The sequence below is a fragment of the Homo sapiens genome, chromosome 7 (assembly GCF_000001405.40).
Source record: "Homo sapiens chromosome 7, GRCh38.p14 Primary Assembly".
Lineage (NCBI taxonomy): Eukaryota > Metazoa > Chordata > Mammalia > Primates > Hominidae > Homo > Homo sapiens.
Window position 1 is genome coordinate 17,397,513 of NC_000007.14, and position 12,167 is coordinate 17,409,679.

Below are 12,167 nucleotides of genomic sequence, written 5' to 3' on the forward strand. Positions count from 1 at the left end.
AGAAAAACTAAAAAAAAAAAAAGCCAGCCATAAAAACATGTCAGGTTAACAAAAGGTCTGGAAGCAGAAACAAGCTTAGCTTATGGAGGAAACACAAGGAAACATAGTCGCAGGAGATGGTGGGCAAACGGTCGGGTAGAATAACATGAACTAATGAGGTGAATAGGGCAAATCATGACAGACCTTGAAGGCCACAGTAAAGAATTTCTTTTTTCCTGCATAAAACTGCAAACCAAGGAAAGCATGGGATAGGCAAGATACAATTTATATTTTTTAAGAAAATACTCTGGCTGTTGAGTGGTATAGAGTGGAGGCAGGGAGATGGAGTAAAAGCTGGAAGATATCTGTGCATGTGAATGTGTGTGCACGCATATGTGGATGTGACATGTATTTTCTGTATTCAGGATGTTAAAACACTCCCCAAGCCCTTAAACCAAATGTTTTTGTGTTTGAGCATTATAAATGTCAAATAATCATGTCAAAAGGTACTTAGAAGAGAGGAAAGTGGGACAAAAGAACTTTAGGGGTTAGGCTCCAGGGACTTCTCCATTCACCAAGAACTGTAATTTCCTCATTACCAGAGTAAGCCGACTTTCACACATTATGTGAACTTGTCTGTCATATCCTTAATATACTTAGATATCCAATTCTATTTTTGTTTTTCTGTTTTTTTGAGACGGAGTTTTGCCCTTGTTGTCCACTCTGGAGTGCAACGGTGCAATCTCGGCTCACTGCAACCTCTGCCTCCTGAGCTCAAGCAATTCTCCTGCCTCAGCCTCCCAAGTAGCTGGGATTACAGGTGTGTGCCAACATGCCCAGCTAATTTTGTATTTTTAGTAGAGATGAGGTTTCACTGGGTTGGTCAGGCTGGTCTTGAACTCCTGACCTCAAGTGATCCACCTGCCTCAGCCTCCCAAAGTGTTGGGATTACAGGCATGAGCCACCACGTCCAGCCTAGATATCCAATTCTTCATTTCCTCTCAATATGTTTTCCAAAGGGGAATGCACATGGCATGTAGGTCAGTCATATTTTCCTCTATATTGGTTTGTTTCTTGGGTCAACGTTTGGCATTCTTGCTTTTCCTGGGTAAAACAGGTTGCATCACCATTTCATCCCCTTACTTGCTGCCAGGTAATCCTGTCAATAATATGTGTAGGAATATTTTTGGAAAGGCAGTTGTTCAAAGTAGAGTTTTTATCCCTGTTGTGGCATCCACTGAGAGACTTTCCAGAACTTCACATTCTTGGGCAGCCAGAACTGCTAGAAGTAGTTTATAATTTGGAAGTTATCTCTAGTGTTGTTTAAGGCTTTAGAGTATTAAGAAGAATACTGACAAAAGAAAAAATGTTTCATAATATCTGACTGTGTATGTAACTGAGTGTGTATGTATATATTTATAATGATATACAGTTGACCCTTGAACAACAGCGGTGGGGGAACGAGGGGGACCAACCCTCTAAGCAGTCAAAAATCCATATATAACTGGTTTTTGTTTTTTTAAGGACAGTGTCTTGCTCTGTCGCCCAGGCTGGAGTGCATTGGTGCCATCTCGGCTCCCTGCAACCTCGGTTCCCGGGCTCAAGCCATCCTCCCACTTTAGCCCCTCAAGTAGCTGGGACCAGACGTGTACCAACACACCTGGCTAATTTTTGTTTTTTGTAGAGAGGGGGCTTCACCATGTTGCCCAGGCTGGTCTTGAACTCCTGAGCTCAAGTGATCCTTCCAACTCAGCCTCCCAAAGTGCTGAGATTACAGGAATGAGCCACCATGCCTGGCCCCACATATAAATTTTGACTCCTCAAAACCTTAACTACCAATAGCCTACTGTTGACTCCTTACCAATAATGTAAATAGTCAATTAACACATATTTTGTCTGTTATATGTATTATAAACTGTATTCTTACAATAAAGTAAGCTAGAGAAAAGAAAACATTAAGAATATAAGGAGGAGAAAATATATTTACCATTCACTAAATGGAAGTGGATCATCATAAAGGTCTTCATGCTCTTCATCTTCATGTTGAGTAGGCTGAGGAGGAGGAAGAGGAGGGGTTGGTCTTATTGTCTCCAGAGTGGCAAAGATGGAAGAAAACCTACTTATAAGTGGACTCAAACAGTTCCAACCATGTTGGTTAAGGGTCAACTGTGTGTGTGTGTGTGTGTGTGTGTGTATTTGTGTATGCATTTATATATCATTGTGGGGAGGGCAGAGTAGAAGTTGGAGAGTGTGTGTGTGTGCACATGTGTGTATGTATATATGTATGCATTCACGAATGGAAAGAAAACTAGTTACTTTGAAATCTAAAAAAAAAAGGAAACACCCTTTTTTTTCCCCACATATTCGTTCATTTTCTTAGCCCCCTGGAAGAACATATTGTTTTCAAAATCTACCTGCAGGAATCCAAAAGCCAAATTTTGAAGCTGCAAAAAGAGAAACTGAAAAATAGAACTCCTTCTGTCTCTTTGAACCATTTCCTTGTATCTTGAGGGTAACTGATACACATTTCACAACACGTGACTTTCAAAGATGATGAATGACAGGGAGGCTCGGTGTCAGACTCCAGATTGTCTTCTGGATCTCTTAGATTTGGGAAGAGATGAGAATAAGCAAACCTTTTAACATAAAATCATCCTATTTAATTAGAAGGGTGTATGGAATAGTCTTAAGGTAAAAGGAAACATTTTCAACTTCTAATTCCTTTCTGGACATATCCTTTTAGGAGGAAGTTCTAGTGATGAGATCAAAGTATCACTTTTCCCCCAGAGGACAGTAATATCACTTTCCCTGTGAAAAACTAGTCCAGTCCATTTAAAGACAGGATTTTAGGATATATTATTCATGACTGTGCTTTTAAAAACCTAAGTGTGAGTTTTATAACTCTAAATTCAAAATTGTCTCTATGGTTTCATTTTTAGGAGTTCTGCACATAAGCTGAGCAGATCCTTTGAGTCAAAGCCTAAAATCTTAGACTTAGAGGTCAGGCATCTTCCATTTGAACCCTGGCATAGGCACGTATTTGCTGTAGGACTGGCCAGACTGTCAAATCTGTGTCTCAGTGTCCTCAGTCTTTAAATGGGGATAAAAATAGCACCAGCCTCAGATTGTAGAAGGATTAATCAAATTACCTCATGCATAACACTTAGCACAATTCCTTCTACATTATAATCACTTAATAATAAATACGAGTATAATAACAACGAAAGTAACAAATTATGTTGAAATAAATTATTTAACTCAGTACAGGCAGGGCCTAAAATGTTGACGTGACTTTCAAGTGTCTTGAGTTCTTAAGGAGAATGTAATCCCACTGCGATGGGACTGAGCCATAAACAGGCAGAGCTTTTGCTACTCCTTTAGAGCCCACCTCAGTATCCTACAGCAATCGAAGAGACAGTACAATACCCACAAACAGCAACTGAAAGCAATTTAAATCTCTAATGAGGTGTCCTGAAAAATTCTAGAGGAACATTCTACTTCTGATGCAGAGAAATACTTCCTAAAATCTTCTTTCCCTGAGACTCCTATAATTGTCTCACCAGAAAAGGAGTTGCCTTCCCTTTGCTCAGTTTGACTCAAGCTCACTCTTAGTGCAGCCCACATTGGCTTCTGTCCTCTTTCTCTTTGCACAGAAGCAGCTCTTCTGTTTATTTACTGACCCTCTGCCCTTTCCAGTCCAAAGCAATCAAGTCACAGTGGACTAATTTGAAGTCTTTTTCTCCCTTTCATCTATTATGTAACATCTACACAACAAAATTTGAGAAACATAGAAATCAGAGCTTGAACCTGGATGCCTAAACCAACATCCATCTCAGCAGGTAGAGTAGATGGTGAGATTGTGATGACCATATGTTTTTTCCTGAAGCATACGTACTACTATTTAAAGCATGGGTCATTTTCTCCTAAGACAGAACTTAACAAAACATGAGCCTTTAAATAAAGTATCAATGTATGTATAAATGAAGTCATCTCACTAGCATCATTCAGTTTGAAGAATACATTCAATGATCCAGAGCCAATATTAAATCTATAATATGAAATGGGCAGAAAAAAAATAAGACTCCAAATTATCACCTTCCCAGAAACCAACCTCTCTCTCACCAACTGCTCAGAAAAGAAGAAAGCAAATATAAAAGAAATATGACCATTTTGTTATTTTGCTCTTACATGGAATTGAAATTAAGCTATATGGAAAATTCACTAAATTCTACCGATCTATCTTTTTAAAAGGGAAATGTTAAGCAGTTCTGAAAGAGTGCACCCAGCTTCCTTTCCAAAGGATACTGCTAATGGAGTTGAACACACCCTTCCTGTCACCCCAGGTGCTAAATATGTGGAAGTTGGGAATATCTAAATGCTTGGAGATCCTGAAGATACTCCCTGAGGTGGCTATAAAAAGACTACGCTTGGCTTCTGAGAATGTAGTGGCAGACACTTTCACTTTATTTTATTTTACTTTATTTTATCATGGGAGGAAGTTTTATTGAGTCACCATCCCCCTACACCTCAACTTCTCTTTTTTAAAAATATGTGTAAGTTTTTTCTACTTCTGTCTCTCAGGAACAGGTTTTTGGTGGTTCAGAAATTTCTCCCACTTTTACCTGACTGTGGGCAACCTCAGCAACAGAGGCTCCTGGAAATATCCTCCACCTATTTTTCTCAGATGTGAGAACGGTTGACTGGAGTTATGAGGGGGAAGTGGCTGGTGCAGAAAGTTGCCAAAAGGGTGATGGAAAGTTCTTTACTGATGAAAAAAGAAAAGAATAATAATTCATATTTATCTTTTGACCAAGACAAGATAGGAACAGAGGTGCCTTTGCTTGCTTTCACCTCAAGCAGGAAGTGAGAGTCCTATTAGCCTCTGGGTTCTGGGAAGTCAACGATTTGGGGTTATTTTTCTTCCCGCCCATTTCTTTACCTTACTCATAGGTTTAATATTGACCTCTGTCTTTATCACTGAATCTGTTTTTCAAATTGAGCAATTCTCAATTTGTCAGATGATTTATTTTTTACATATACATGAATGTTTTGTTGAAACAAGACTTTCAGCGGTATCAGTCATGGGGGAGCTTAGCTGTGAACCCGGAGGTGAGAGTAAAGTCTTAGAACAAAGAGGAATTCGAAATTACGGAACATTTTTAACTTCTTTACTCAGTGGTAAAGAATGGAACATCTTTTACGTCAAACTACTGAAGTTGTGGGCAAAATTACAAGCGATGATTATGCAGGATAGGTTAGTTTTTGGCCATTTTAGGCTTTTCTTGATTTTATGGAGTAGTCTGAAAGGAGTGAGCTGGTGAGAGAATTTACTAGGTGCTGAAGCAATGAGAACTGACAGCTGATATACAGGGGAAGAGCTCCGTTTCAGTCACATTGAATTTGAGGTGCCTTTAAGAGGAGGTAATCAGGAAGAATTTGCAACAGTTCTTTAAACCCCGGTGGATATCAGAGCTAATCATGTATCCGTGGGAGTTGTCAGGGTAAATCTGATGACTGATGCCAAGAACCTCACATAAGGAGGTCAGGTGGCATGAGAAGAGATGATGAGTGAGAACACAAGCTGAGAAAGAACAGTATTTAGAGGATGGACTGAAGGACAAGTGGGGGAGTTTGAAAATGCGGAGCTGTAGAGGTAAAGGACACTGAGTATATCTGCTCTGGTCCTTTGGGGACTTTCCACAGCACTAGCTTCACCTTGGTTGCTTGCCAACTGCTGAGACAGTAAGTCCAGATTTTAGTATTTGACCCACGCTGCCTTCTCCAGATCATGCTCCTTGATATTACCTCTGAATTTGCTGAAAGAAAAACATTTCCACTCAAATATCACTTGAACATGATTTATGAGTAAAATGAATAATATTTTACTATAAAACATACAGAGGTGAGTCTCATAACGATATTCAGGGTGGCCCCAAGCTATCTTCTTTTTTTTTATTTTTAAAGTTTTCAAAATATTTTCAGGCCAAGTGTGGTGGCTCATGCCTGTAATCCCAACACTTTGGGAGACTGAGGCAAGAAGATCACTTCAACTCAGGAATTTGAGACCAGTCTGGGCAACATAGCGAGACTTCATCTCCACTTAAAAAAAAAAAAAAAAAAAAAAAACTCAAATGTGGTGGCGCACGCCTTTGGTCCCAGCTACTTGGGAGCGCTGAGGTGGGAAATCTCTTGAGCCTGGGAAATAACGGCTACAGTGAGCTTTGATCGTGCCATTGCACTCTAGCCTGGGTGGCACAGTGAGACCCTGTTTCAAAAAAAGTGAATATATTTAAGGTATACAGCAGGATGTTTTAATATAGAGAGTTAAATGACTGCTATCGTTAGCTAATTAACATACCCATCTTCTCAGGTAGTTACCTTGTGTATGTGTGTGGTGAGAATACTTGAGATATACTCTCCTATCAAATTTCATGTATATAATATAGTATTACTAACTATGGTCACTATGCTATACATTAGATCTCTAGAATGTATTCACCCTACATACCTAAAATTTTATACACTTTGACCAGCACCTTCCCTTTCTTCTCTCCCAGCCCCTTCCCCTAATAACCACCATTCTACTCTCTGCTACTGTGAATTCAGCTGTTTGAGATTCCACATCTAAGCTATCTTCTTTATTAGCCATTGCTAAAGAGTCACTGATAAGCCTGCTTCCTGTCTGTTGGGTGCAACTAAAAAGCAGACCCTTGATCTGGCATTCTGGTGGTGAAGTGACTTATAGCTCTAGAACCTCCCAACCCAAGCCATCCTACGGCAGCTGTTCTGAAGTTGACTTTTATAGCTTCTACAGAACTGTAAGCTTGCCGTTGAAAGTGGCACCTAGCCATTTATTCGCCAGTAATTATAAGCAAATGAATCAAATTTGAAGCAGGAGTGTAATAAAATCAGTAATGGATAGGATTTTAAGCAACAGGCAAACTTCTAAGAGGGGCTGGCACCCCTTTTTAAAAATAGATTAATGTCATCTGCAAACAGAGACAATTTGACTTCCTCTCTTCCTACTTGAATACCCTTTATTTCTTTCCCTTGGCTGATTGCCCCGGCCAGAACTTCCAATACTATGTTGACTAGGAGTGGTGAGAGAGGGCATCCTTTTCTTGTGCCAGTTTTCAAAGGGAATGCTTCCAGTTTTTGCCCATTCAGTATGATACTGGCTGCGGGTTTGTCATAAACAGCTCTTATTTTGAGATATGTTCTATCAATACCTAGTTTATTGAGAGTTTTTACCATGAAGGGGTGTTGAATTTTATTGAAGGCCTTTTCTGCATCTATTGGGATAATCATGTGGCTTTTGTCATTGGTTCTGTTTATGTGATGGATTACGTTTATTGATGTGCATATGTTGAGCCAGCCTTGCATCCCAGGGATGAAGCTGACTTGATTGTGGTGGATACGCTTTTTGGTGTGCTGCTGGATTCATGTCCTTTGCAAGGACACGGATGAAGCTGGAAACCATCGTTCTCAGCAAACTAAAACAAGAACAGAAAACTAAACACCGCATGTTCTCACTTATAAGTGGGAGCTGAACAATGAGAATACATGGACACAGGGAGGGGAACATCACACACCGGGGCCTGTCGGGGGCTGGGGGCTAGGGGAGGGATAGCATTAGAGAAATACCTAATGTAGATGACATAGGTATTAGGGTAGATGGGTGCAGCAAATCACCATGGCACGTGTATACCTATGTATACCTATGTAACCTGCACATTCTGCACATGTACCCCAGAACTTAAAGTATAATTTAAAAAAAGGTAGTAAGATGATAGATTTAAACCCAAATATATTTGTAATTACATGAAATGTCAGCAAAGTAAGTACTCTAATTAAAAGCTAAAGATCGCCAGATTGGAAAAAAAAAAAATATGCTACTTTCAAGAGATTTTCCTTATATAGAAGAATATAGAAAAGTAAAAGAATGGAAAATGTATAACATGCAACCAATATGAAACAAAATAGAATTTAAGGCAAGGAATATTATTCAAGATAAAAAGGGAAGGCTGGGTGAAGTGGCTCACACCTATAGTCACAGCACTTTGGGAGGCCAAGGCAGAAGGATTGCTTGAGTCCAGGAGTTTGAGGCAAGCCTGGGCAACACAGTGGGACCCCATATCTAAAAATAAAAAATAAAAATAAATTTTAATGAAAAAATAGATTAATGGCAGAGCAGACTTGAGAGACAAATGGTTCTTGCAATAAGCGACAGCGGTATTAAGATGTATGTTCAGGATCTCATTGGATAGAGGATTAGGAAAATTTCTTTGTTTTAATGTTTCTTAGTAGACCTTTTTAGAAAGAAGGGCAGTGTGAAAATAATATCCTAAGAGCTCATAACGGCAAATGCCAAGGTTTGTGTGGTGTGTGTGTGCGCGCACGTGTGTGTGTGTATGCATGCCTGTGTAATATTATGAGATAATACAAGGGAGAAGGGTGATTCATGGAAAGAGTGGACGAAGGTTTCGAAAGCTACCGAGTGAGAAAAGGTCTGATGAGTATTTATTTAGGAATTATGATGTCACTGGTGACCTTAGCAGGAATAGAATCTGTAAAATGCTAGGGGCAAAACGGGGTTACAGGAAGGTGAAGAGTAGACAGAGACTTCCTTTTCCAACAGTATTGGCAGAGTAAATATCCTGAAAATCTATCCTGCTACAAAGCACCTAAAAGTAGTAGATACAAAATGAAAAACACATTTAAATGCATGCCTGTGTTGGAAAGAGTAAGGGAAACCATTGGAGTTATCAGAGGCTAAATGTTCTGGGAAGGACCAATTCAGAGAATTGTAAGCAGTGAAATCATCTATGAATTCCAGGGGCCTGGGGCTTCAGTTGTGACACAGATCAACTCAGGTCGGCACAATGGGAGAGTTAGATTCAAATTCTGGAACCCATAATGAATTACATCTTCAGTGAAACTGCAAATTAGGAAAAAAATAAAAATTAAAAACAACCTGCCCTGAATGAAGAAACAAATAAAACTGGTGAATTTTTTGAGCATCTTGTGAGAATTTATAAGTCGGAGCTAGTCCTCAAATGGCCCTAGGTTAGGGTCTGTGATGGTTAATTTTGTGTGTTAATTTGACTGGATTGAGGGATACTTAGATAGCTGGTAAAGCATTATTTCTGGGTGCATCTGTGAGGGTTTTCTGGAAGAAATCGGCATTTGAATCAGTGGACTGAGTAAGGAAAATCTGCCTTCAGTGTGGATGGGCACCATCCCATCAGCTGAGGACTAGAATAGAATGAAAATGCAAAGGAAAAGCAAATTTGTTCTCCTCCTTCAAGCTGAGATACCCTTCTTCTCCTGCTCTTGGACATTAGAACTCCAGGTTCTCCAGCCATTGGACTCAGGCACTTGCACCAGCAGTTCCTGGGTTCTCAGGCTTTTGACCTTGTGCTGAGAGTCATACCATCAGCTTTTCCGGTTCTCCGTCTTGCAGATGACCTTCTCAGATTTCATAATTGTGTAAGCCAATTCTCCTAATAAATCTCTCTTATATATCTATCCATCCATCCACCCATCCATCCTATTAATCTCTGTACAATTCTGACTAATACAGGATTCCCTATCTCACCGACTGCATTGTCTGAAAAAGACTCCTGCCACCCTAGATTTGAAGCTTCCTTAACTGCCTGACAGAAGCAAATAATTTTCTCTAGATGAATCAACTGTCAACCTCAAAGAACTTCCATTTATAAAGTCCCAACATTATCCCAGAATCTAAAATTACAAAATGAAAGAAGAAATAGGAGTCAATTTCAGTAGAAACAATAAACAAGAGAATCAGCCCTAGATAATGAACTAGTTACATTTATACTACAAAACTGGTATTTAAAGTTAAAGAAAAAGAATAAAGTTGGAAAAGAAAGTCACATACATGAATGAGGAAGAAGTGACTATAAAGATGACTAGGCAGTTCTAATAAAAACTAAAAATAGGACATTCAGAAATGAAAATTACAGTACTTAAAATTAAAAATTCAATAGGTATACTGCTTAGCCTATTAGACATGACTGAAGATAGAATGACAAACCTAGACTATAAAGCTGAAGTAGTTGGCTCTAACAGAACACAGAGAAACAGAGGGAGTATAAAAGCAGTAGAGAGACATAAAAAATATTTGTAAGATACAACATATATCCAAATCAGAATTCCACAAAGAAATATCAGAGAAATGAAAGAGAGATAATTTCAGAGGGAAAATGTCTGAGCAATTCCAGAATTCCAGATGACATGAATCTTCAGATTTAGAAAGCAAAACAAATCCCAGTCTTCACTGAACTGTAGAACACCAGTGAAAAAGAACTTTTAAAAATCCAGAGAGAAAAACATTGCCTCCAAAGAAATATTTACAGTGATAGCTGAATTCTAAACAACAACAATGGAAACCAGTAAACTGTGAGATCATATTAAATCCATGAAAAAATGCTTATAGCTACATATCTAGAATTGTAAAATTGTATGTCATTTTTAGATTAAAAAAGATCAAGAGAGTCCTCACAAACATCTTTTCCCTACAGGAGCTTCTAAAATATATATTTCAGAAATAAGGAAAATGCTTTCAGAAAAACTGAGTTCAAGAAGAAAGGGTGAGCGAAAATAAAGTGGTAAATGTGAGTAAATCTAAACAAATGTTAAATATAATACTCAATAATAATGTCTAATTTTAGAGTATATTAATTTTTTATTGCTGTGTAACAAAGTACCACAAATTTAGTGGCTTAAAACAATACAAATTTATTGACCTTAAGTTTCCATGTGTCATGAGTCTGGGCACAGTTTAATTGGGTTCCCTGATCTGGTCTCACAGCCTGTGTTCTCACCTGGATGGCCACTGAGGAAGAATCCACTTCCAAGCTCATTCAGGTTGTTAGCAGAATTAATTTCCTTTAAGCTCTACACTGAGGGCCCAGACTTTTTGCTAGCTGTCAGCTGCAGGCAGGCCACCCCATCCCATAGACCTTCTCACAGTATGACAGCTATTTTCTTCAAGCCACCAAAAGGATTTCTCTCCAGGATGTATATGATAAGTAATTATTAAAGTGGCATCCTATCACTTCTATCATATAAAATAACTTAAGGGAGTGATGTCCCATTGTCTTTGCCGTATTTCATTGGTTAGAAGCAGGGCACAGGTTCTGTCCGCACTTAAGCAGAGAAAATTGTGCAAGGGCGTGACTCATAGGAGGTCACTTTAGGGCGTGCTCACCGCAGAGAAATTGGAGAAACAAAAACAAGACTAAGTCAGAAAGGTCATGCTCAGAGTTAAAGCATGCTAAAGTCCTTGTAGGAAGTGCAAATAGACACAGATTAATTATAAACTGTATTAAGCTGGAAAGGAAAGTACAAAATAAGATGGTAGGAATTAATCAAAATACATCAGCAATCTTAAAGACACAAAACATTTTTAAATAAAAGGGTAAAAAAATATATTGTGGCTATATTATTATCAGATAAAATAGACCTTCAAGTAAAAAAGCATAATTCGAGTTAGAGGATGACTACATAATGACAGAGTAACTCTCTAAATTACCATCTACCAAATTTCACAATTCAAAATTGTATATAGTAAATATTAGCAGAGATTCCTGAATCATCGTGTGTGCTTTTGAGACACAGTGCTTGGCAATTCAGAAGTTAAATAGACAAAATCAAAAACGTATCTTCTCACAAAAAAACAGTAATACATAAAAAATGTTAAGACCACAACATACTTGAACTAATTGCTGTACGTAGAATAAAGCATGAAACAATTAGAGACAACAGAATTAAGCACATGTGACACTGACCATATAAGTATATAAGAGCCACATAATAAACTATAAAACTAGTGTTAACCAATATGAAAGAAATATTTCATAATATGTGGGCCACGTTCTCTAATCACAATAAAGTTTAAAACCAGTGATGAAAACATTATGAAAAAGCTCATATATTTAGAAATTTAAAAACAAACTTCTAAATAATACATCAAAATAGCATTCAAATGGATATTAGAAAACGTTAGAACTAAACAATTATGAAAAATTCTATATATCAAAACATGGAATACAGATAAAATAGTGCAGAGAGAAGTTTATAGACTTTCAGAAGGGATGAAAATTAATAAAGTAATCATCAATGATTTAGAATAATATTGAAAAAATAAATCCAGAAAGCAGAAA

General features: G+C 38.1%; 1 long non-coding RNA gene across 2 annotated transcripts in view, besides 1 other annotated feature; it reads left to right on the forward strand.

The window, feature by feature from the left end:
- Nucleotides 1–12,167, forward strand: part of LINC02888 (long intergenic non-protein coding RNA 2888) — a 92,340-nt gene that overhangs the window by 22,596 nt on the left and 57,577 nt on the right. The gene's annotated exons all lie outside the window — the stretch shown is intronic.
- Nucleotides 7,903–9,102: an enhancer, noted in NCBI's record as "P300/CBP strongly-dependent group 1 enhancer chr7:17445039-17446238 (GRCh37/hg19 assembly coordinates)". NCBI's record gives its function as "activates an origin of replication core promoter dependent on BRD2, BRD4, P300/CBP, MED14 and CDK7 cofactors, with strong dependence on P300/CBP, by STARR-seq in HCT116 cells {active_cell/tissue: HCT116}" and the evidence as "EXISTENCE:reporter gene assay evidence [ECO:0000049][PMID:35650434]".